This window comes from Homo sapiens, chromosome 3 (genome assembly GCF_000001405.40).
Source record: "Homo sapiens chromosome 3, GRCh38.p14 Primary Assembly".
In the NCBI taxonomy this organism is placed as follows: domain Eukaryota; kingdom Metazoa; phylum Chordata; class Mammalia; order Primates; family Hominidae; genus Homo; species Homo sapiens.
Genome location: NC_000003.12, coordinates 100,516,162 through 100,543,177, shown reverse-complemented (window position 1 = coordinate 100,543,177; position 27,016 = coordinate 100,516,162). Strand labels below are relative to the sequence as shown.

Here is a 27,016-nt window from a genome sequence, read left to right as displayed (position 1 = left end):
TAAAAGAAGTATATCTATATTTACAAACAGGAATGAATTTTGAAACCATTAGGTTCAGTGAGAAATGCAAATTGCAAAACAGTGGTAAACTTTGATGCAATTTATGTACTGTTTTTATTTTTCCATTTTTATTTTAGTGGATATATGATTCAGTGGATACATGTGGAGCTTTGTTACCTGGGTATAGTGCATCATGCTGAGGTTTGGGGTATGAATGATTCCATCACCCATGTACTAAGCATAGTACCCAACAGTAAGTTTTTCAACTCTTGTCCCCTCCCTCCCTTCCTCCTCTAGTGGTCCCCAATGCCTATTATTGTCATCTGTATGCCCATGTATTACCAATGTTTAGCTCCCACTTATAAGTGACAACATGTGGTATTTGATTTATTGTACCTATGTTAATTCACCTAGGATAATGGGTCCAGCTGCAACCATGTTGCTGCAAAGAACATGATTTTCATTCCTTTTTATGGTTGCATAGTATTCCATGATGTAAATGTACCACAAATTCTTTATCCAATCCAGTGAGCACCTCACTTGGTTCCATGTTTTTGCTATTGTGAATGGTGCTGTGATGAATGTGTGAGTGCATGTGTCTTTTTGGAGATGTTTGTTGACTGAATAGTTCGTGAAAATTTGCTCCCATTCTGTGGGTTGCCTGTTTACTCTGCTGATAGTTTATTTTGCTCTGCAGAAGATCTTTAGTTTAATTAGGTTCCACTTATTGATTTTTGTTTTTGTTGCAATTTCTTTTGGGTACTTAGTCATAAATCCTTTCCCAAAGCCAACATCCAGAATGGTGTTTCCTAGGTTTTCTTCTACGATCCTTCTAGTATTCATATGTCTATGAAATCATAGATGACATAAACAAATGGAAAAACATTCCACGTTCATAGATTGGAAGAATCAATATCATTAAAATGGCCATACTTCCCAAAGCAATCTACAGATTCAATGCTATTCCTATCAAGCTACCAAGGTCATTTTTTACAGAATTAGCAAATAATATTCTGAAATTCATATGGAATCAAAAAAGAACCCAAATAGCCAAAGCAATCCTAAGCAAAAAGAACAAAGCCAGAGACATCACATTATCTGACCAACTTCAAACTTTACTATAAGACTACAGTAACCAAAACAGCATATGCTAGTATAAAAACAGACACATAGACCGATGGAACAAAATAGAGAACACAGAAATAAAACATGCATGTACAGTCATCTAATCTTTGACAAAGTCAACAAAAATAAGCTAAGGGGAAAGGACTTAAAAGGGGAAAGGACTCCCAATTCAACAAAGGTGCTGGGATAGCTGGCTAGCCATATGCAGAAGAATGAACCTTGACCCCTAGCTTTCACTACATACAAAAATTAACTCCACTTTGGGAGGCCTAGGTGGGCAGACTGCTCGAGCCCAGGAGTTCAAGACCAGCCTAGGCAACATGGCAAAACCCTGTCTCTACTAAAAATATAAAAAGTTAGCTGGGCATGGTGGCACTTGCCTATAGTACCAGCTACACAGGAAGCTGAAGTGGGAGGATCACCTCATCCCAGGAAGGTGAGGCGGCAGTGAGTCATGATCGTGCCATCAAACTCCAGCCTGGGTGACAGGAGTGAGACCCTGTCTCAGAAAAAAAAAAAAAAAAAAAAGGAAAGAAAAGAAAAGAAAAAGAAAACAATTGACTCAAGATGGATTAAAGATTTAAATGTAAGACCTTAAACTATAAGAATCCTAGAAGAAAGCCTATGAAGCACCATTCTGGACATTGGCCTTCATAAAGGATTTTTGACTAAGTCCCCAAAAACAATTGCGACAAAAACAAAAATCAACAAGTGGGACCTAATTAAACTAAAGATCTTCTGCAGAGCAAAATAAACCACCAACAGAGTAAACAGGCAACCTATAGAATGGGAGCGAATTTTCACAAACTATTCAGTCAACAAAGGTCTAACACCCAGAATCTACAAGGAACTTAAACAATCGAATGAGCAAAAAACAAATAACCCCATTAAAAAGTGGGCAAAAGACATGAACAGACACTTCTCAAAAGAAGACATACAAGTGGCCAACAGACATATGAAAAAATGTTCCACATCACTAATCATCAGAGATATCCAAATCAAAACCATAATGAGATACCATCTCATACCAGTCAGAGGGACTATTATTAAAGTCAAATAAACAACAGATGCTGGCAAGGCTTTGTAGAAAAGGGAACACTTGTACACTGCTGGTGGGAATGTAAATTAGTTCAGTTCCTGTGGAAAGCATTTGGAGATTTCCCAAAGAACTTAGAACTAACATTTGACCCAGCAATTCCATTACTGGGTATATACCCAAAAGAAAATAAATTGTTCTCCAAAAAGACATATGGAAGGATATATTTGTGCATCGTTGACAATTGTGAATAAAGCTGCTATTCATATTTATGTGCAGGTTTTTGTATGGACATTAGTTATCAATTCATTTGAATAAATACTAGGAGCACAATTCTGAATTGTATGGTGCTCCTAGATAATTGTATGTTATCTTTGTAAGACACTGCCAAACTGTCTTCCAAACTAGCTGTACCATGTTGCATTCCGACTAGCAATGAATGAGAGTTCTTGTTTCTCCGCATTCTCATCAACATTTTGTGGTGTCAGTATTTTGGATTTTAGCGTTCCTGATAGGTGTATAGTAGTATCTCACTGTTGTTTTAATTTGCAATTCCCTGATGACATATGATGATGGGCATCTTTTAATATGCTCATTTGCTATCTGTATGCCTTCTTTGATAAGAAGTCTGTTCAGATCACTTTTTAATTGAGTTGTTTTCATGTCATTGGGTTTCAAGAGCCATTTATATTGTTTAGATATGTGTCTTTTATCAGATTTATGTTTTGCAAACATTTTCCCCAGTCTGTGGTTTGTCTTTTCATTCTCTTGATGGTGTCTTTCACCATTAATATTCAAACAATGAATCTAGACATAGACCTTTCTTTTTCCATAAAAATTAACTCAAAATGGTGAAAGACACCATTAAGAGAATGAAAAAACAGAAGTTTTAAATTTTAATGAAATCTAACTTTTATATTTTTTCTTTCATGGATTGTCCTCTTGATATATTATTTTAAAACCCTTTTCCACACCCAAGAGCAACTAGATTTTCCTCTGTTATCTTTTAGAAGTTTTACACTTTTGCATTTTACATTTAGGTATATAATCCATTTTGAGTTAATGTTTATGAAAAAGGTAAGGTCTATGTCTGGATTCATTTTTCTGCATGTAGATTTGGTGGTTAATTTTATGTGTCAATTTGACTGGGCTAAGAAATGCACAGGCAGCAGGTAAAACATGATTTCTGAGTGTGTCTGAGAGGGCATTTCCAGAAGAGATTGGCATTTGAATTGGTAGACTAAGTAAAGAAGATTGCCTGGGTGGGCATCATTCAATCCATGGAGGGCGTGAATAGAACAAAAAGGTAGAATAAGGGTGAATTCACTGTCTCTTCTTGAGCTGAGGCATCCGTCTTCTCCTGCCCTTGGACATAGGAGCTCCTGGTCCTCAGGGCTTTGGACACTGAGGCTTATACCAGCAGGCCTTCCAGTTATCAGGCCTTCAGACTTAGGCCTCCATAATTGTGTGAGTCCATTCCCATAATGGTTCCCCACATATACGTATACGTATACGTATACGTATACATATACATATACATATACATATACATATACATATACATATACATATACATATACATATCCTATTGGGTTCTGTTTCTCTGGAGAACCCTAATACTGTGGGCATACAGTTGTTCAGCTCCATCTGTTAAAAAGACTTATTTTTTCACTACTGAATTGCCTTTGCCCCTTTGTCAAAGATCAGCTGACTGTATTATGTGGGTAAATTTCTGGGCTATCTATTCTCTTCTATTCACCTATGTGTCTGTTCTTTCACCAACACCATACTTTCTTGATCACTGAAGCTTTAAAATAAGTTTTGAAGTCAGGTAGTATCAGTACTACGATTCTGTTCTTCTCTTTCAATATCATGTTGGCGTATTCTGGGTCCTTTGTCTGTCCATATAAACTTTAGAATCAGTTTAATATCCACAAAGTAACTTGCTGGGATTTTGACTGGGATTGCATTGAATCTATAGATCAGTTGGGAAGAAATGACATCTTAACAATATTGAGCCTTCCTGTTCATAAACAGAATAGAATATTTCTCCATTTATTTAGATCTTTGATTTTTTGCATAAGAGGTTTATGGTTTTCCTCATATAGATCTTATATATATTTTATTAAATTTATATCTAAATCTTTTCCTTTTCGGTGCTAATGTAAATGATGTTGTATTTTTAATTTTGAATTCCAGTTGTTCATTGTTGGTATATAGGAAAGCATTTGACTTTTATATTTTTTTAATTTTATATCTTTTTGTTAACTTTTATATATTAATCTTGTCACCTAAAACATTGCTAAAAATCACTTAGTTCCAGGAAGGGTTTTGCTGCTATTGTTGATTGTTTGGGATTTTCTACATGAACAATTATGCCATCTGTGAACAAAGAGAGTTTTCTTTCTTCCTTCCCAGTCTGTATACTTTTTATTCCCTTTTATCATATTACTGCATTAGCTAAGACATCCAGTAGGATGTGGCATAGGAGTGATGACACGGGACATTTTGTGTTGTTCCCAGTCTTAAGGGGAAAACACCTAGTTTCTCACCACTAAAGTATGATGTTGGCTGTAGGTTTTGTGTAGATATTCTGTATCAAGTTGAGAAAGTTCTCTATTCCTAGTTTGCTGCTTTCTGTTTGTTTTGTTTTGTGTTTAACTTATCTTTTAAAAAAGAAAGACCTAGGAAAGGTTTAGAGCCAAATAATAGAAGACCCTGAATGCCAGTTTTAGAAATTTAAACTTTATCCTATGAACAATAAGAAGCAATAGAATATTTTTGAGCAAAGATGGGATATGATAGGGATATACATCTCTCTGCCTCTGAGAGCCCTTAAACCATCCCATAATACAAGAATCTAGTTTCTATTTGAAGACATCCAGAAAGGTAAATTCCTCCAAGTGCTTTAATAACCCATTCTGATGACAAACAAATCTCACTCTCTATTGACCTTTCCTTATAGCAATCTTGAATCCCTTATAGGTCCCAGGAAAGATGCAGAACATTCTTCAGTGTTGATGAACTGCTTCAAAGGCAGGACTCCCAAACCCGGTATTACTCTACTGGCTCCCAACCCAGACGAGAAAGCTGTTTCTCAGTTTCTCTTTGGTTCAGCGCAGTCACAGGCACCCAGTGGGCCTGACAAGTTTACAAAACAATGTACAGTCAAAATGCAGTGACCACACCTGAATCAGCAGGGCTGACACATTCACTTGCATCACAGCTTCTAAAGGAGAGAGTTGCTATTGTCAAGAGCTCTGTGACAATGACACCTGTGTGAACGTTTGGCTATCTCCTGGGCCAATCTACAGAGAATGCCCTGTGGCCCTGTTCTTATGGCCTCGCCTTCTTTGCCTCTTCTTTACTCCTCTTCCTGTCATCCTGCTCTTCTCTCTCCTTTCTGTCTTCTGCCCAACACAACCAATTCTCAGGAGGACACTGGAGCGTATTTTGGGTTCTGAGCAAATTCTCTACAAGAGCACAGGGACCACCTTGGGAAGGAAAGCCACTCCTAGATAGGATTCCAAAATGGCTTTGTTTGGATTTCCTTGTGTGCGGAAGGTGGAAGACAAGGGCAATCAATGGAGGCCCAGAGAGCAAAAACAAGGAAATGATTTGCCAACTGAGGCTAATAGATCTCTGAGTTCCCAAAGCTCACAGGTGTACAAACTATACCAGCATCCGGTTCTCCCCACCCCTCAGCTCCCTGTTGCCCACTAGAAGACGTCTTTCCCCCAGAGGTTACACCATGAAATTCAATCTAACCTCATTTTCCTTTAAAAACCTATTCTGGCCAGGCATGGTGGCTCATGCCTGTAATCCCAGCACTTTGGGAGGCCAAGCTGGACGGATCACCGGAGGTCAGGAGTTTGAGACCAACCTAGCCAACATGGTGAAACCCCGTCTCTACTAAAAATACAAAAATTAGCCAGGCATGGTTGTGGGGTGCCCGTAATCCCAGCTACTCAGGAGGCTGAGGCAGTAGAATCACTTGAACCTGGGAGGCGGAAGTTGTAGTGAGCCGAGATCGTGCCATTGCACTCCGGCCTGGGCGACAACAGCAAAACTCCATCTCAAAAAAAATCCCCACTTCCTCCTTCCCCCTACTGCCAAAATACAAACAAATATGATTGAATCTAGGCCTTTCACCTTGGGACAGGCTGGGGTGTGGGGCCAGGGTTTGGGCCTCTGGTTTTTCCCTCTATTATCAGCCCAACCATCTATCCAGTGGAACTGCATCGAAAGGGACAATGTGAGACATCAGAGAAAGGAGACCATTTTTAACCTGAGGAAGACTGTCATGCCCTGAGCAAAGCTGTTGGTGAATTTCTGGCTTTGTTGAGAGGAAATTCAGTTTTTTTAAGAATAAGTGCCTCTAAGGTTCTTCAGAGGTACGTGTGAGAATAAGCAGTGCTCCTGCCTGTCTGCTTATTTATTCATTTCTTAATTCCTCCATGGATCCATTCATGCTTTCAACAAATATTTATTAAACAACTATGATATGCCAGTTATAGTTCTAGCCATTGCGGACAGGACATAGACAAGGTCTTTGTTCTCATGGAACTTATCTTTTAGTGTAGGAAGACAGATAAGAAACAAGAATTCTAGGACATTTAAACTCAAATTGTGGCACTCACACCAGCAGTGGCTACACCAAGTGGGAGCTGGTTGGAAATACAGACTCTCATGGGCCACCTAGACCTATCAAATCAGAATCTTTTTTAACCAGATCCCCAAGTGACTCATATGCACATTAAAGTTTGAGCAACACTGATCCAGGATGGAATTTCTCAACAATGGCACTATTGACATCTAAGATCAGATAATTCTTTACTTCCTTGGTGCAGGGGCAGGGTGAGGGGTTCTGTGCATTGTAGGATGTTTAGTAGCCTCCTTGGCTTCTAACTACGAGATGCTGGCAGTACCTTCCCCCTAGATGTGACAACCAAAAATATCTATGGATATTGATAAATGTCACCTGGGGGGCAAATTCTCACTCTTGTCACTAGTTAAGAAACATTGTTCTAGGAGAACCTTGGTGAAATCCCCTTAACGTCAAGACTTTTTTTCCCCTTTTCTCTTAGGAAAAAAGAATGTAACAAACTTAGCTGTTAACTATTTTATCCAACTAAGTACAACCAAGATCATGTTCACTTTTTTCAAAAGATAAGGTACAGCAACTAATAGAACAAACAGAACATCATTTGGAAAAAATGAAGTTTGCACAATTCCCATGAGAAAACTTTCACACAAAAGTCACTCAAGTTTGCGGTTTAATATTACTACTAAGGATAAAGAGACTTAGTATTAAATATGCATATATGAGGCCAAGGACTTATGATTGGATGTCATCACTACCAATTATATTTGCACTAGGTACAGTCATACAAAGGTCTAGAATATCTCCCCTTTTTGAAAGAGCTGGCCAATTAGACATAATGCCCCATGTCCACCCTCAAATACTGGAAGTAGGGCAGGGAGAAGTTTGTGAAAAACAAATAAATCACAAAAGCAGAGTCTGAAGCCAATGAGGTGATATCAAAACATTGTGCAATTTTGACTGGAGTGGAGGGGAAAAGCCAACAGAATAACTCTGGTCTCTCGGTCTCTTGGTGTTGGGAAATTTATAGTTCATTGTTAATTTTTAATTAATTTCTTAAAAAAATAGGCCCAGCCATTCAAAACCAGCCTGGCCAACATGGTGAAACCCCATCTCTACTAAAAATACAAAAATTAGCCAGGCATGGTACCTGTAATCCCAGCTACTCGGAAGGCTGAGGCAGGAGAATCCTTTGAACCCGGGAAGCGGACGTTGTAGTGAACCGAGATTGCACCACTGTACTCCAGCCTGGGTGACAGAGTGAGACTCCATCTCAAAAAAAAAAAGGCCCAGCCAAGGAAATAGTGCCTCCTGATTTTAGCAAGTGCCTGTGACAAGTTAACACACAAAATAATTTCAGCCAGTGGTAAAATAACCCAGGACAACATGATAGAGAGCTCAGGCTCAGTTTGAGGGAGCGAGAACAGTGGTTCCTATTGGGAAGTGCAGAGCTGAGCTGAGCAGAAGAATCAAGGCTATGGCAGGGAGTGCATCTGTGAGGTGTGTGAGGTCATCAGCCCAGTCCTGCCCTCAAGGACATCTGGTTTCTTGGCTCTAATTCCCAGAAGAAACAGCTTATCTTAAAGACATCTGGTGGCTTGCCAGAATTATTCACAGCCAGTGAATGGTAGAGTGCAGAAATGGAATCCAGTTCTCTGGGGTGCTGGAGGACAGTGCACTTTCTACAGCACCAAATACCCCTGGTTTAATTTCCCACTGCTGGTCTAACAAATTACCACTAATTACAACTCAAGTTTATTATCTTACAGTTCTAGAGGTCAGAAGTCTGAAATGGGTCTCACAGATGGAGAATCAAGGTGCTGGCAGGGCCACGTTCCCTCTCGGGGCTGCAGGGGAGAATCCCTTTCCTTGCCTTTTCCAGCTTCTAGATACCTCCTGTGTTCCTGGGTTCCAGGCCTCTTCCTCCATCTTCAAAGCCAGCAGCATGGCATCTTCAAATCTCTCTCACTGACTCTGACCCCTTCTCCTTTTGCCACATCTCCTTCTTCTGAGTCCGATCCTCCTGCCTCCCTCCTTATGAGAACCACTGGGCCTACCTGAATAATCCAGGATAATCTCTCCAGCCCCAAATCCTGAACTTTAATCATGTCTGCAAAATCCTTTTGGCTGCATCAGGTAACATATTATCTGTTTCCAGAAAATAAAATATGGACATCTCTGAAGGCCATTATTCAGCTTATCACAACCCTCTTAGGAATGACAGTCAGACCGAGGATCTCTAACAAGCATGAAAACAAAAAAATTTTTAAATCGCCAACAGAAGAGGGGAAGAAGAGAACAGGAATAAAAGGAATCTCTATAGACTCAGGTTCCAAGTCAGCCTGGGAGACAGAAGAGCAAAGTGTTGTCTAGGTCTCACATTTGGCTTGAACAGCTCATAAAAAATACCAGTATATAGGGCCCAATCTCTAGAGACTCTCCTTCAATTAGTCTGAGTGGACCCAGGCGTCATTTTTTTAAGACCCCAGATTCTAGAATCAGACTACTCTAATACAAAGACCACTGTGCGCTTGACATTGGGCATGTTATTTAACTTTGCCTCAATTTCTTCTATAAAATGAGAATGACAATATCAATAAAACTACCTCATAAAGGATAAGCAGACATAATACAAGTAAAGTTCTTGCCACACAGTAGGCACTGCCTCATGTCATAGGTTTGTTTCTCCTTCAAATGCCTCAAAGCTCTCCAGAGGGGTGTCTTCTTCCTCAGGCAGGAACCCAAAGGGATTTCTGTGTGTCTCAGTGTGAAGGGTGGGGCTGGGAGGCATGCTGAGCTCAGGCTCCCCTGCCCTGCCTGGTTGTGATGGGTTCCAGAAGTGCTCACCCCAGTGTGCCAAGGGAAGGGCAAAGTTGCAGCATTCTCATGGGAGTGCACAAAAACAGGAGTGTGTAGGAAGAAACAATCAGAAAGGCTGGAGCTGGGGGTGGAAAAGGTGTGGTGTGCTGTGCTGTGCAGACGTGAGGAATGCTAAGAGCCATCTGATAGTGATCAAGGCTTAGCTGTCTACTAGAGCCGTGATTCTCAGCCTGGATGCCTATACAAAACATCTGGGAGAACCATAAAAAATATGCACGGTATCTGATCCCAACCCAGAACCTATTAAATCAGAGTCTCTTGGGGTAAGGCCTGGGAATCTTTTTTTTTTCTTTTGTAAGATCTCCAGATTATTCTAGTCAACTGAAATTGAAACCATGGGTCCCCTATCTTAAAGCTGTGCCTAAGCTTGGTTGACCTCGCCAACTGCATCGCTAAGTGAAGGAAGGGAGGGGAGAGAGAGGCCAGTAATGACTGGGCTCCTATTATGTACCAAGACATTTTACATGCACCCATTAATTTAATCATCATAATTATTATCCCCACTTTAAAGATAATGAGAAAGAGCTGCATTTCATAGGGATTATAATGCAACTCACAATAGTGTTGTCACAGAACCAAGACTGAGCCCCAAGTCTATGTCCAAAAAGGAACAAAGGAAGAAAAATGGCATTTATCAAATACCCATCTCTCTAGGAGCTGCATAGCATCCTCTTGATTCCTTGAGGTACTATTTTTCTCCCCATTTAACATTTGACAAGAGAGAGACTTAGAAAGGCTGAAAAACTTGCCCAGGTCAAACAGCTTACAAATGGCAAAGCTGGGATCTTAATTCAGGCCTGTCAATCTCTAAACTCCCATCTTCTCTTTCATCATTTCCACTCATCTCCATGCCTCAAAAACTCACCGTAACAACTATAACAACCATAACAAGAACAATGAACAATTATCAAATGCTGGCTCTGTATCAAATACTGTACTGACAGCTTTCTATGTATTATCCTAGGAAAATAAAACGATCATGGCATAAAGACAAAGCAGTTGGTTGTTTAGACTCAGGTTACTCAACGAATGGCATATGGGCCGGCCGCATCACCTGAGAGAGTCAGAGCTCAGAATCTGCATTTTTAAATGATCTGTTAAGTACATTAAAGCCGGAAAAGCCTGCTGTAGATGACTTTTGTTCTGGTTTTTATCTTTCCAAAAAGTTGTTACAGTAATGTGTAGGTACAGCCTAAGACTCTCCAGTTATCAGGCCTTACAAGGAACCAGCCAAAGATGCAGAAGGAGCCAAGTGCTTCTGTTCTCTGGTTTAACATGATGTCGGGGAGAGCAGGAGGCACCAAAATACCTTTTCATAAATACAGCTCTTTTTCTCTGAGTGTTCCAGGGTGTTGATCTGTAGGCACACACCATTTGACTCCAAGTACTCTGAGCAGAGATCACTCCTTAACAGGACAAATTATGCTGAATGTGAGACTTGCTAATAGTCCTATGAAAGCAAGAATGGGATAAAGCAGCACTTCTCAAACTTGAGTAATGTGAAGATCTTCAAAAAAGGAAAAAATTATTCTTTCAGAGTCAGTATGTTGGCCCAAATCACTTCTATTATAAACTTTCTTAAATAGTAGAAGTATTTACATGGACAACTGTAAAAATGAAACAAATTTACAAATTCAGCAAAACTACAAACCCAGCAAAAATCAAATAAACGAATGCATCTCAAATATAACAAAAAATGATTTTTGCTAAAATAAATCGCCAGCATCATTATGGTACTGACAGCTACAAAGTATCATCTTTTTGGTACAGAATATGTAATTACTGTATGCCCCAAATTGGGGCATAAATCTCTATTCAATTCTCTATTCAAGCCAATAACTACTGAAAAGTTATTTGGCATATTAAGCCCATCTTCTCTCTTCCTTAACCCTTGATAATTAAAGCAGTGCTGCTTACTACCATCATGATAGCAATTCAATTGCTCTAGTTGATTCTCTATTCAAGCTAATAGCCACTGAAAAGTGACTTGGCATATTAAGCCCATCTTCTTTCTTCCTTAACCCTTGATAATTAAAGCAGTGCTGCTTGCTATCCTCATGATCCTAAATACAAATGCAAACTCCAGCTCTGAGTTCATTGATTTAACTTCAATAGATGATCATCTAGGTGATCCAGATATACTTATAATGTTTCTCAATCATTATTGAGATAAAAATGCTGAGTTATATTATTATAATAGAAAGCTTGCAGACCATGTACACACACACACACATACACTCACGCAGACACACACAAAAGAACATGTCAGCACATTTCCAGGAGTTTATCAGTCCCAATTTGGGAAACGCTGAGATAAATAATTAGGAAAAACTATAATGAAATAATTAATGAGGGCAAATTACTCTTTACAGAAATATTTCAATGCATAAATGCAAGAAGAAATGATCGAATTTAGAATTTTACATACCCTAATAAATTAATAGAGTCAAACAATGTTAATCAAAGGCTGCTGACATCTGAAAGAGAGACAACTCAACAAGATACACCCAATGTATTTTTGCAGGAAAAAAAAAGCCTGGGTGTGATGCAAGCTATTTATATAATTACTAATTTATGGGACACACAGGGACAAAGGAACATTTAAATTATATCATGGGAATGCAATCAGTAAAATCCAGATGATGCAAAATTCTACAGGACAAAATAGTTTCTGCAACAGATGAACTCAAAGAAAAACAAAAAAGAGATAAAGAACAAATCCACAGATCAAAAGAGACTTCTGAGTCATATCTGTAATTGCAATGTATGGGCTTTATCTGGATCCTAATTCAAACAAAAATAATTCAGGATGTTTAATTTCATATGGGTCCTAATAGTATTCCATATACATTTTTTAAAGAATCTTTATTTTATAAAGATATATACTAAAGTATTATGGATCAAATAATGTGATAAGTTGGATTAGCTTCAAAATTGTGATGGTTAATTTTATGTGTCAATTTGGTTAAAACATAACTCAGCTTTTGGTCAAAGACCAGTCTAGATGTTACAGTGAATATATTTTTAGATATTATTAACATTTAAATCAGTAGACTTTGAGTAAAGCAGATTACCCTCTATACTGGTGAATGGAGGCTGGAGGGGCAGGAGTCATTCAATCAGTTGAAGGTCTTAAAAGACTGAGGTCTTCTCTAGGATGAATGAATTCTCCCTCAAAACTGCCTTTGGTTTTGCGATTGCAACATCAACTACCCTCTGGGTCCCCAGCTCCAGGCCAGCAGATTTCAGACTTGCCAGCCCCTGAAAATTGTGTGAGCCAATTCCTAAATCTCCCTCTCCACATCCCACACACAACCTTTTGGTTATGTCTCTCTAGAGAACCCTAACTTATACAAATATTATCTGGGGGACAGGAGAAATGGATGGAAGAATAGATAAAACAAAGTTGGCATGAGTTAGTAATTGTTGTTGAAACGGGGTAATCAGTATGTTATACTATTCTATTTTTATATATACTTGAAATTTTCCATTTAAAAAGTTGGGAAGGATAAAAAGAGATGGAAGAGCCAAGGAGCAGAGACACGGTCTTTCTGTACAGGGTCTGTACACGTAAACATGTTGTTCTGATAGAACAAAATATCAGAAATCAAGGTTGGCCTAGCATGGTGGCTCACACCCATAACCCCCAGCACTTTGGGAGACCGAGGCATGTGGATCACTTGAGCTCAGGAGTTTGAGACCAGCCTGGGCAACATAATGAAACCCCATATGTACAAAAAAATACAAAAGTTAGGCATAATGGCACGTGCCTGTAGTCCCAACTACTCAGGAGGCTGAGGTGGGAGAATCTCTTGAGCCTGGGAGGCAAAGGTTGCAATGAGCTAGATCACTCCACTGCACTCCATCCTGGGTGACAGAATGAGACCCTATCACAAAAATAAAAGTAAAAATAAAGGCTGGCCTGAGAAATCTGAGGTTTTGACTCCAAGACTCACAAGGGAGCAGTTACAACCCAAAGGTCTAGTCTTGGAGGTGATTCTTCTCTTGATCTTGAACTTCCAGTCTGATTTAGGCTGTTCCCACTATGCCCCCACAGCGCTTGCACATCCCCTCGCTGCAGCATGGCCTCCCACACTATGCTGAGATGACCTCTTTGAGTCTCCATCTCTTCCCGCTACCCAGGAGCTGCTTATTTATTCAAGCACCAAGCTTGCACTTTAAAATGTTAAATGACTGAATCAAGGCTATGCTGAGTGTGGGACTAGCTAATGCCCAGTGAAAGAAAGAATGAGGTAAAGCAGTGTTTCTCAAACTCATATGCTACTGCCTTCTAGCCCCTGGTTTTTTTCTGTTAATTGTTAAAGCCTACAACTAATTGCTTCATTTTTAATTTCTTCATGTTCTCTGATTTTAAATCCCCCTGCACAACCAAACATTTGAGGTCTTATGGGGGAAAGGAGTGTTTGTGTGGAAACAATGGCATTCACCACCATACAACTTTATAAAATGAACCTTCAAAATTCTTGTCCTTGGTAGGAGAGAAAAGCCCATCCAACAAATAGGAGCTTCATTTGCAGTGCTTTCTTTCCAATCTCCTATAAAACAGAAACTATCTGACCCTTAAGGCCTCATATGAAAGTCATTTTTTTACATTGCTCTGCCTTTATGGAAACAGAATTTTTAATGTGAATGTTCATTAAAATAAGCTATTTCTTTGGCTCTGTCATAGTGTTCTGCATGCTTTTGGAATAAATTCATTGATTCTACAATCAGAATTTAAAATCCTAGGATATTTCATTTATAAATTAAATAAATGATTTAAAAAACAGTACAATGCCAGCTTTTCTTTTAAACTTAGCTTATAGAGGGAGAAGGAAACTGTGTTTAAAAAAAAGAGAGCTGAGCAGCTAAATTCCAATCTCCTTTAAATTCAAATTTAGACAAGAAAAGGTGGAGAGTTTCTAGTCTGCCATGCTTCTCGGAAAATGTTCTGACTCCTGTACAGAAAAAAACAAGGGGTCCAAGTGAGCTGAAGTCTCCTTCCATCCTGCCTCCTCCTCTGTCCCTTGATTTCACCCTTAAAGTCATTACTTCAGCCCCAAGAAATCCCCACCTTCGATTCTGCCCTCACTTCACAGAAGGTCAGGTATACAAATTCATGACAAAACCTCAAAGTAAATGAAAATGAACCAAGAGAATAAATCAACAACTTCCTTCTGGGCTGCCACTGCCCAGGTTGGGTTGCACACCCCTGAGGGAGAACAAGGATCCCTGGGAAAACCAAATATAGAGCCTTACAGACTTAGAGATGCGAAAGGTTCCCAGAAAATGCATCAGTAATCTATGTTGACAGTCATGCTGGAATACAACCCATGTTTTTAGTTCCTGTCCTTCAACCCTTGGCACCACTGTGGACACCTGAAGGTAGAGTGACCATACTTAGCAACAACAGAAGTGTAGAACACCCAGTGAAATTTAAATTTCACATAAACAACAGGTAGTTTTTGAGCACAAGTATGTTCCATATAGTGCACGTGTTGTTTATTCAAAATTCAAATTTCACTAAGCATTCTGCATTTTATGTGGTGATCCGTGAAGGGATTTCCATTGAGTAATGAACACTGCAACAGCTCAGGGTGAAGATTTCTCAAGCAACACCAGTCTTATCTGGTGTCCTGAGTTGTCTTGGTTGTGACTTCTGGATATTTTCAAATCTCTATTTGAACATCCTATGCTTTTCTGAATTATACCCGGGCTATTCCTAAACCAAAAGTGGTCCTGTGCCTCATTAATACAATTAGAAATTTGGTCTAAAATGTTAGTGGTTCCATCAGGTGAACTGAAGATTCCTCGGCCAAAGTTGCATTGCAAGAGGTCATCATGAACTGGTATATCTTTCTTCTCAATCAACAGATACTAAAACACCCACAATAAAATTGCAGGACAGGATGGAGAGAGATCTGGAAATCTTCAGATGTTAAAAATAGGTCTATTTCATATTTCATAAGGTTGGAACCCTTGGTCAAGGACAGTTTCCAATGTTTCTCCCAACCTCATCACAATTCCCAGCATTCTGTAACCACAGTCACTGAATCATTAGATTTTTACTGGTTCTGAGCAAATAGAAAAAAAAGGCCAAAGTCTTGGGCCCAAAGTAAGAAGGACTATCATGAGGGTAGCTGAGAATGATGGCACTATATTCACCTTGTTCCTTTGAACAGATTTTTAAAATATAGTATACAAGACATTTGAACTCTTGTTGGAGTTTTGTTTCTTGTCTTGTCATCAAATACTGCAGTAATCTATAGACATTTCAGTCACCATAAGGGAGTTTTTGAAATACTTTTTTATTGACCCTCATTTATTCTCACTTTACAAATATCTATTGTGCACTAACTCTGGACCAGGTGTCATAGTCCTCTCTTGTTGACTAACTGCTACACACTACATCTTCCAAAGAGATCAATAGAAAGAAAGGCGGTCTCTTGCTCAGTCATTCCTGATGTAGGTGGTGTCCCAAAAAGCATATATATTATAATTTTAAATTACATTTATGTATTTTAAATACCTATTTTAAAATACGGACATAAATAGAGGATATGAGATTTTTACGTCTTCATCCAAAAAATTCAGAAACATGATTATAGCCACATGGACTCACTTTGTGCCTGTGACTGCAAATATAAAAGCCAACCTTGAACTAGATTCTTCCTTCTACTTAAAGCTTCCTAATTTGCAAAGGATCTTGCTTAATTACTTAGGGGACTCTAAGACAGTCTGTTCTTTGTAGCTTAATTTGTTGGAGTTGTGACCAGTCTGTTGCAATCTAAAACTAATGGATTTCGAAAGAGAAAAGAAAATCTAGAATTTTTTTGGCAGATAATTTTTTTCCATCTAAAATAACAAAGTTCTTTATGGCTAACTTGCCTTAAGTCTATCTGCAGTACTATCTAAAGAACCCAACCCCAAGGGATACAAATTACTTTTAGCCTCATGGTGTCAACTGATGAGAAAACTAAGGCTTAGAAAAGATAAATGACTTCTTGAAAAGGTTCCCACAGCTAGTTTAATGGCAGAGCTGGGATTTGAAGCTAGTTTGATGGATGCCAGAACCTGAGCTGTTGTTAATATTCTTTCTTCCCTGGGAGGTAGTGGCCCTTAGCATTTAAAGAATGATGACTCAAGTATGCCTGGCCCAGAAGAAAATGCAAGGCAAGAGTAGAAATATGGGAAGATGGCTGAAGATGAGACTTTAAGAGTTCCTCAAGCTAAAGAGGCTGGCAGTAGAACATGCTTCTCTGCAAACGGTGTCATTGCCCATAGAAGGAAAAGGTAAAGGTGAAAAGTGAGAGACGTCCAGAAGCTCCCAGCACACAGCTCCTCTGCCAGCAGCAGGGTGCTATCAGGGAAGTTACACGGGCTAAATGGTATTTCAGGAAGATTAATTTGGCAGCGTCACACAGAGTATATGAAAGGGAGAAAGACGCTGGAGGCAAGGAAACTGGTTAAGTGGCTGCTGCAGACGCTCATTTCCCAGATGGTGAGTCTGAGTCAGAGCCGCGGGAGAGAACAAGGAATCAAGGGACAAATGCGAGTGTTATTCACTACCCACCATGAAGGAAGAACAGACCAGCCCAGGGACCTCCAAGGGCAGGACTGTGGTCAGTGACGCTTCAGAGGCAGAGAGAAGAAAGGAAGGAAAAGTGCTTCCAGAGCCAGTACTACTTGTCGCATCCCTGTAGCCTAGAGCACATGCCTGTCCTGCCTGTCTCCCCGTACCACAAGCTCTGAAAAGTCAGGGGACCCTTCATGGGTCTGTTTCTCCCCATTGCTGACCACAAGTGTTTGGGAATCTCAAGAAATACTCCCCGGAAGGCTGTTTCCTCTACCTGGAATGCTCTGTCTCCACTTTTGGCTGGAAACTCTGTGGGAAGAGCCTCCCTCAAGGCACAGCACAAATGTGTCTTCCTCAGCGAGGCCTTCCATGGGCCAGCTGAATGAAGTTAGGTCTTCTCATTTTCCTTTCCATAGAAACTTGTCTTCACAGTATGCATCACAATGTGTAATTTTGTATTTGTTGTTTTTTACATTTATTTTTAAAATATCTTTCTGTTGCTGTTGTTGCTTTTCTACCTTCCCCCCATCAGACATAAGCTCCACAAAGTGCTGCCCAACAGAAACACAGTGCAAGACACATATGTAATTTTAATTTTTCAGTAGCCACATTTTTAAAAGTAAAAAGAAACCAGTGAAATTAAGCTTAATAATATATTTTATTTAACCAAATATAGCCAAAATGTTGTCATTTAAATATGTGCTCAATAGAAAAAAATTATTAATGAGATAGTTGGCATTCCATTTTTTTCTCTTTTTCTTTTTTTTTCAGAGACAAGGTCTTGCTTTGTTGCCCAGGTTGGAGTGCAGTGGCTCAGTCATAGCTCACTGCAGTCTCAAACTCCTGGACTCAAGTTATCCTCCTGCCTCAGTCTCCCAAATAGCTAGGACTACAGGCACACATTGCCACACCCGGCTAATTTTTTTATTTTTTTAAAGACAAGGTCTCACTATGTTGCCCAGACTTGTCTCCAACTCCTGGCCACAGCGATCCTCCTGCTTCTGCCTCCCAAAGTGCTGGGATTACAGGTGTGAGCCACCATGCCTGGCCTTTTTTTCTTTTTGTACTAAGTCAACATTTCCAGACTTGTGTGGAAATTAAGACCACATACTAGGAATTTAAAAGCAAGACTGTCATTTATAAAAATGTCATTGCAGGAAGGAAGGTGAGCTTACTGGTCAGCAATTGAAGACCACCTCAGAAACCCATCAAAGACTGGCTTTTTATAGGAAAAGCCTCCACAGACTCAAAATGCCTCTAGTCTCCTGCGCATAGGAAAGCATGCCCTGGAAATGGTGTGGGGACAAGGTGGAGTGTTAACTACCCCAACTTCTGTGTGTATTTCACACTTACAACACATCTCAATTGGGACTAGCTACATTTCAGTTGTTCAATAGCCACATGTGGCTCGTGGCTACCATATTGGACAATGTAAAACTTGCAGGATGCCTGACAAATATTACTTACCTAATAAAGAGCTGATGTATGAAGGCAGGGGAAAGGGAAAAGAGAAGGAAAAGAGGAAGAGAAAAAAGATACATGGGAAGGAAAAAGAAATTAACATCTGTTGAGTAGTTACTATGTTAGATTCTTTCATACAACAATAAATTATGTCATTTAATTATCATATCAACCCTGGTAAGAGAGGTATTATGAGAACCACGTTTATAAATGAGGACACTGGTTTGGAGATGTCATGGCACTTGCCCAAGATCATGCTGTCTTTTGAATGAAAGAAGCAGGATAGAGAAGGCAGTCTCCCCCACCATCCTCCCGCACTCACAGAAGCCACACATAACAAGTCTCTTCAAGCCAGCTTGCCATCTAGATTTCTTTCTCCTCCAGTGGAAACTTTCCAGGGTTTCTATGAGTGAATCCCACAGACATTCTCCTTCCAAAAGTATGATCTGACTATTGCAGGCTAATGTAGAGGTCTCCTCTCCCTCCTTAAGTGATCCTTATTTCATTAGCTACTGTTGCCCATTAGAATTCTACTATGACCAAACAAAATGGTGGCACTTGAAGTTCCGCTCTCTAGCTCTATGCAGTTCCCTTCCTTCCTTCATTCAATTAGCACACATCCCAGATAACTCTGTTCAAAAAGGAATAAGAAGGAGAAAGAGAAGAAAGAAAAAGAAGAAGGAGGAGGAGGAGGAGAAGGAGAAGAAGGAGGAGAAGGAAGAGAAAGGAGGAGGAGGAGAAGGAGGAGGAGAAGGAGGAGAAAGGAGGAGGAGAAGGAGGAGAAAGGAGGAGGAGGAGAAGGAGAAGGAGGAGAAAGGAGGGGGAGGAGGAAGAAGAGAAGGAGGAGGAGGAGGAAGAGGAGAAAAGATTCAAGCTAAAAGTTATCTCATCTCAGCCAGGGAACCTCCTCTGACCACTCTCCAAGTGCAAGAATCTTCCCCTTCTTCTGTGTTCCCACAGAACCCAATGGAATTTCTCATGCATATCATAATTGTTTACTTCTTGGATCTCCCTCACTGCACTGTGAGCTCCTGAAAGGCAGAGACTATGACTTTAATCTTTATATTCCCAGTACCCAGCATTTATTGAATAGGGTTGTTAAACGAGTAAATAAATGAATGAATGGATGGATGAGCCCATAGCTCTGTTTAAATGTAAGAACCACCACCTGGTACCACACAGTCATAAGGGCTAAAAGAGGACTAGTATGTACTCTTGCAGTAGCTGAATTCCACCCAGACCAGTTATCCAGGTGTGGTTCACGGCAACACAAACAGACAACATCAGCAGAACGTCTATGACACCTGCAACCATTGCATAAGAAGTGATGTTCTAAGCGATGCAGAAGATGTAGCAAAGCTGGGAGGTCAGGAACCTGTGGAAGTCATGTGAAATAACCCCAGAATATGGTAGGATGGAAAGAAGCAGTGCTAAGCATTAGAGTTTGGCCACAGAGCCAAGGATCCTGGTCATGCTGGCCTGGAGGGGACAGGGGACATGCAGTGTTGGCATCCTTCTACCCTTCCTTCTAGAAGGACAGGTGGTGGCAGACTGCACCAAGCAATGGGCGCAACCACAGGAACTTGGTTCTCCCAAACTTACAACATCCTGGGAAAGTACATCCACCCTCTAGGATCATCTTCAAAGATGTTTATGGACGAGACACTTTGTTGCACCTTGAGATTGTGGTCTATGCTAGGTCTTGGGCCAGAACTTCTAACCTTAGCTGTAGCATACCTGTGTGCCCCCAGTGGGAACAGGTGTGCCAGAGGGAAACACAAATTTCCCTAAGCCCCAGGAACAGCCAGGTGAGGGTGAGGGGGCAAGGACTATAGTAGCCAGACCCCGATGGCCTACTGCCTAGGAATGAGCCCTCCCACCTACATAAATCATGTCATGTCCATGTATACTGTGACATGAAAAAGGTTGGGAAGCATTGATTAGACTATAGGCCAGCACCAGAGAGTTAGGACTTTTAAGAAGAACTTCATTTTGACAGGCCAAGGAGATTGAAGTCTCTCAAATGTGAGTCCGAGCCAAGGCCAGTCTATTTGCGTGGATGTTTCTGTGAATTCAGAAGGAGGATGGAACACTGGGGCCTTGCACCATTGAAAATAAATAACAAAATGCACAAGAGTAAGTGCCAGACTGTCAACAAAGGTGCAATCCAGAAAAACAAACAAATCAAGGGACTGATACTGCATCTCCCACACAGCTGTGACTCACAGGTCAAGGGCCAGAGTCAGCCCCCCAAACCACTGCCTGGCACCTCCACACCTCGCTTCCCAACAGGGTATGGTCCAGGGAAGAATTACTCCTTAGAGTAGCTTCACAGACAACCAAGGAGGGGTGGGGAAGGGATTGTTATTGTCAGTGCAGCTGGGCCCACTACCCCCACCCCCAACAGTTACTCTCCTGTTACTGTTCATCTTTGTCTTTTCAAGTATAGATTGGAACTCAATATTGGACAGAACTGGGCAGGTATATAACTGGAGCACCAAAATGCTGCCTAAGAAGGACTTGGGATGTTAGGAAAGCCTGGCTTCTACAGAACTCTTACCACCTGAAACAACAAGCAAACGTATAAAAATAAATACTCCTCATTACTACTAAGCTGGGCAGAAATATACTTCACAGTCATGGAAAGTGGCCCAGAGCCGTACTGGGGCCAGCCTAGAGGACGTGGGCAGGAGCTGAATGTGGCAAGGAGGCTCTGGCCACTTGATCAGACATCAGAACAGCCCCACCTGCCACAGCAGCTCTGGCTGACATCATTGTCTCTCTAGATCCTCAGTGGGCAGAAAAAGGCCAACACAACTGGCACAGAATGATGTGGGGTGGAAAGCCCCAGGGTGTGTGCGTACGTGCTGCAGCTGGTGTGGCAATGTCATATTCCTAGCCAAGGAGAAGCCACCTCTGAGATCCATATCAGAAAGAGGAAATGAGGCTGGGCGTGGTGGCTCACACTGTAATCCCAGCACGTTGGAAGGCCCAGGCGGGCAGATCACCTGAGGTCGGGAACTCGAGACCAGCCTGACCAACACGGAGAAACCCCATCTCTACTAAAAATACAAAATTAGCCGGGCATGGTGGTGCATGCCTGTAATCCCAGCTACTTGGGAGCTGAGGCAGGAGAATCACTTGAACCCAGGAGGCAGAGGTTGCGGTGAGCCAAGATTGCACCATTGCACTCCAGCCTGGGCAACTGGAAACTCGGTCTCAAAAAAAAAAGAAAGGGGAAATGAAAGCTAAACCCTACCGTATCCCATCTCAGCTGGAGGTGCAGACATTGCCCAGACCCCATCCATTCACATTGCCTTTGGGGAACTTAGGATGTATCAGAGGGAATTTAAGCTCTACTAAATCCCAAATTAAAAGGCATCCATTGCCTTCACAGAGCTTCACGCGCTAAACTTTGCTCCTAGCTCCGAAAGGGGTTCTTTAACATTTTGAAAATTACCAGAAAGCAGATATCCCCCTTCATGAAAGCTAATGAAACATTCACTGACTCATGATCCATCATGGGCCAAAGAAGACTGGGTGTCTTCTTGATGTGGATCCCATCCTCGTACTGCAAAGGTTGCTTCCAGGTCCCAGCCTGGCTGTGACACCATGATGTGATTGACTTATTTGCTCCTCTTTGTTCTCCTACCTCCTGGACCAAGACGGAGAAAGTGAGAGGCTTTTCTTGGTGATGAGACACTCTCCTTTCACTATGTTGGGTCAGGAAATGGTGAAGGCAGAGGTTGCTGTTATCCAAAAGCATGAAGTTAGGTTGGCAACCCGTGCCTGCCTGCTCCTCCAAGAAAGCAGGGAAAAGACTAGAAGCAGAGGCCTAGCCCTACAAGGGACTATACTTAGCTGCATAGTCAGAGGTTTGTGTGGGGCGTACAAGAGGGGCTAGAGAGGTTATGCACAAAAAGCTCTGCAGGTAGGTACCCAATGTATAAGGCCACATGGATAACAGAGCAGAAGGTATCATTTCCAGAACCCAGCAAGGGCGGAAAAGAGGGCCTCACCAAGGTATCCTTTAACTAGCATCTACTAGCATCTTAACATAGCCCTAAGGGAAAACCCAAAAGTCATATTCTATGCTCTCAAACAATTATTTTTTTCATGGACCAAAAATGGTGAGGCCTCAGTGAATAAACAAGAGGAAGACAAGGCAACGAGCACTGCTGGTTGGTAATAACAAGAAGGCACTGTCTGCAAATTGTTTTCAGAGCTCTGCAGGGGAGCTCTTTCTCAATGAGACCTGCTCTCATCACCTTATTTAAAATTGCCTCAATACCCTACCCTCTTTTCCTGCTTTATTTACCCTGTAACACATTCCCTTTTAATATACCCATAATTACTGACTTATTTTGTTTATTGCATTCCTCCCTCACTAGAATGAAAGCTCCATGTATACAGGATTTTTTTTTCTATTTTCTTCACTGCTTAATCCTTAGCTGTTAGAACTGTGTCTGGCATACAGTAAGTGGTTCAGTACCTAAGTGTTGAGTGGATAAATGGATGGATGGGAAGGATGGATAAAAAGAGTGCCTGGTAGACCTAACGCTTCAGCTGCCAGATTCCTGAAGGCCCCAGAGGAAGAAAATGCTACAGAAATCAAGAGAAGCATTTAAGGCACATATCTTCAACATCAACTCTTCCTATCCACCCACAATGCTAGATCCCAACATAAAATGAAATAAAATTTCTACAGAATCATCAGCATTAGGCTAGTATTAACTTTGCCTTGATCAGCCACAACCCACAATAAGTTACTTGCACAATGTCATAAATACACGGTACAGTCAGGTTCAAACTAGGTCTTTATGAATCAAAAGTTCTTGCTCTTTTCACATTATCACACCAAAGGTTACTGCAGAAACGCCAAACTAACCTTTGGGTGTTTAAATCCCATTTTCCCTTCTGAGTCATTGGTCATCCTTGGTCTCAGTAGATCAGGCACGTTAGAACTGTGGCAGAAGAGATAAGAATGAAGCAGCCAAAATTGAGCCTTTGCTTCTTAGGTAATGCTGAAAAGTTTCTGGAATAAAAAAATCAATAGGCTGAAACTTGACATCTTACAGTCAGTTTTACACACACACACACACACACACATGCACACACACACACACAACCTGTATGCATGTCAAAAGCAACTAGTAAGCAAACACAGTATTAAAACTTACCACACTTTTACCTCTGCCTGAGTCCCCCACGAATCATGCGTACTGAAGATGTGCCACTCAGTAGCTAACAATGCTGGGAGATACTGCTTAATGCTCAAGTAGATTTCACCAGCATACACATTGCAACAGCTCCAGAAAACTCTCTTTTCTTCCTCCCACTCACATGCTTCCCCTGGGCGTTGTACTCACTGCCGGTGGCCTCCACCTCCACCCAACTTCAGAAACCTGGCCCATAGCACCCTGCAATTAATGTCATCAGACATGTAAATCTGATTGTCAACCCATGGAACATGCTCACAGCTCACCAGAAGACATTGTCCTTTACAATCAGGGAGGCACTACTGAGTCACCATTAGCAGATTTTTCTTTAATGGCTATATAGTAACTACACTCATTTATTCACATTTTTACCAAGTCTGCCTCTTGATTATTTGACCAGCCAGCTTAGGTGTTCAGTGTGTAAGCATGGAAAAGTAAAGCCTCCCACAGGGAACAGGGCCACCCATCACTTTGCTTCTCTCACCTGGGCCAACCTAAGCCGACCATCTCATGCTTATCTTAACCCACACAAGGGGAATAGACGAACACTCCAGTCTGCACCCCTCACCTGAGTCTGAACACAAATACGACTCAGGAATGAATATTCACAGTCATTAGTGCTAGTTTCAGCACTTGTACCTGCCAGTCAATAAGGCCATTTCTTGTCTCTTGCTTAAGAAATAAGGCCTGCTGGAATGAGTGTGGAGTGCACATATGAAATAAATAAGAAGATGTATTGTCTTGTTACCATAAAACAAAGTAAACCAAGATTTTAAAAATGACTTCTTTTCAAAGGACAGAAGTTTCACATATTGCCAAGACCTGAATCACCCTTTTAACTACAGACTCTAAATAAGTATGCAAGTTGTACTAGAAGAAGAAAAGAGACCTCTGCAAACCTTCTGTTAAAGGAGATTAAACATTAAATCAATTAAGACAAGAGTATGGACAGCAGTTTCATACAGTGCACATGTGGATACAGAAACTTGGAAGAAAGTGAGGAAATGGGCCCTTGATTCTAATTTCTCACTCCTGTTAACACTTGAGCGACCTGAAAGCATAGAGGCAGAACCAGCTATGCAATCTGTGGGGCCCAGAAGCAAAATGAATCTTTCAGCAGACTTCCAACAAAATGTTTGAGAAGAATGGCTTCCTTTTTTCTTTCTGCTTCTTAACTAGCCTTCCCCTTCATACTGTTCAGGGTCTCAGTGGAACTAACCAGCAGACCCTCCTAAACCCCATAACCACGCCCAATCAAAACCCACTTATCTAATGAATCAAACAGTTCCTCTAATAAGTTAATTTTAGAAACGTGGCTAATGATGGTGGATGGCTTGGAGGTGGAGGTAAGCCCAAAAGTGAGGCCTGTAAACAAGCCCATTTAAACCACAGTCTTTCCTAAAAGGATGCCACGTAAGAACGGCTTTTTCCAATCACAAGCATCACAGCCCTTTCAAGAAGAGGAAGATGCTCAGCTAATTAAGCTAACTTGCTCATCATTTTTCCAGCTGCACAGAGAACCCCAGAAACAATATTCATTCACATTTATCCTCACTTTTTTATTCACCACAGACTCAGAGTTGCCCTCCAAGAATTGTTTCCCAAATCACATCCACAGTAATAAAGAATATCACCTTAGATGCTCAAATATTTCTTTGACAATTAAGGAAAAATATGAAAGGCTGATCTTTGGCATGGGGACAGTGAGAAAGAGGATATTTCTAAACGTCATTTGTTAACTAACACATGGAAAAGGAACTTACAGAACTTACACCCTTACGTGGATGTGCCAAACCATGAAGGAAAGATGATACACTTCAAGCCTGTGGCTTTTCCTGAAAATTTACTTTTTCAGAAAGTATCAAGTTCCTCATTAGGAATATTCCATTCCCAGCCGGGTGCGGTGGCTTATGCCTATAATCCCAGCACTTTGGGAGTTCAAGACCAGCCTGGCCAAAATGGCGAAACCCTGTCTCTACTAAAAATACAAAAAATTAATCGGGCGTGGTGGCACATGCCTGTAATCCCAGCTACTTAGGAGGCTAAGGCAGGAGAATCGCTTCAACCCAGAAGGCGGAGGTTGCAATAATCCCAGATTGTGCCACTGCACTCCAGCCTGGGTGACAGAGAGAGACTCTGTCTTAAAAAAAAAGAAAAGAAAAGAAAAATTTCATTCCCACGTCTGGCAATATGCCTCATGATTCAGCACCATCAGTGATTGAGAACACATGCAAAGGAAAATTCAAAGGCTTAACCAGGCTCAATGTGAGAGCAGATGCTGTTCTCCATAAAATGCGGGCCCAGAGCTCTCTGGGAGCAGGGATGGGTGTTTTTCCAAAGATAGCCCCCATCTTTTCACTTCACAAGGACTCATCTCATGCCAGGGAGAGGATATCTCAAAGTAAAAAATCTCCTCTCAGTTGACCTCTTTCCATTCCCAACTTTTCAAAAACTATTTCCTTCAACACATTATGAAAAAAAAAATGGGCTCTCTTAATTTCAGAAAAATTGAAGAAGGATCCCGTAAGGTGGTATATAAATTCTATTTCCAATCCAAATATAAGATTCACAGAAACAAGGAGGAAAAATATCCCATCATAGCCTTTTCTGAGTCTTTACAATTTCTGTGTCAATGAGAACCTGGAGAGAGTTGCTGACAGAAAGGCAATCATGAGTCTGGGGAGAAAAGGAAGGAAATAAAGGGAAGAGAAAAAAGTGAGGACGTGGGAATAAGACTGCGATGGAGGTAAAGTAAACTTCTCTTGACATTGCCTTCAGTGGTTTCACAATGGTAAGCTAATTCTCTTCCTGTAGAAAAATCAACTCCCATCTGAGAACCAATCAGAACACAGCCACTTATCAGGGCACAGAAGCAGTTTCATCAATTCACCCCACCTCTTTTACTCATTACCACCACAAAACATAAGTCACTATGTATGAAGCCAAAAGTAAAACCAGCAACACTTATCACAATTAACATCAATTAGATTATATCAAGTTTCCAGTGTATTTCTCTCCAGAAAGCATAATCTTGCCCTTGATTGAGACTTCCTACTATCATGTCCAGGAGTATGGCAGTCCGGAGCTCATTAGATAAAAGCAGAGAGCTCTCACCT

General features: G+C 41.0%; 1 protein-coding gene across 11 annotated transcripts in view; it reads right to left on the bottom strand.

Annotated features, from left to right (window-relative positions):
- The window catches only part of TMEM45A (transmembrane protein 45A), an 84,826-nt gene that overhangs the window by 34,267 nt on the left and 23,543 nt on the right, over positions 1-27,016 (bottom strand). For 2 of the 11 annotated variants that reach the window (XM_047448425.1, XM_047448418.1), the window contains exons 2-3: positions 23,862-24,101; positions 23,570-23,716 (exon numbers count right to left, since the gene is read on the bottom strand). The exons of 2 other annotated variants lie outside the window; for them this stretch is intronic. In XM_047448425.1, the coding sequence (XP_047304381.1) occupies positions 23,570-23,614 (45 nt within the window). In that variant the 5' untranslated portion in view covers positions 23,615-23,716; positions 23,862-24,101. Of the gene's footprint in view, positions 1-19,003; positions 19,162-23,569; positions 23,717-23,861; positions 24,102-27,016 lie in introns of those variants that run through there. 7 more of the 11 variants (NM_001363876.2, XM_047448419.1, XM_047448426.1 and 4 more) reach the window with 5 other exon arrangements.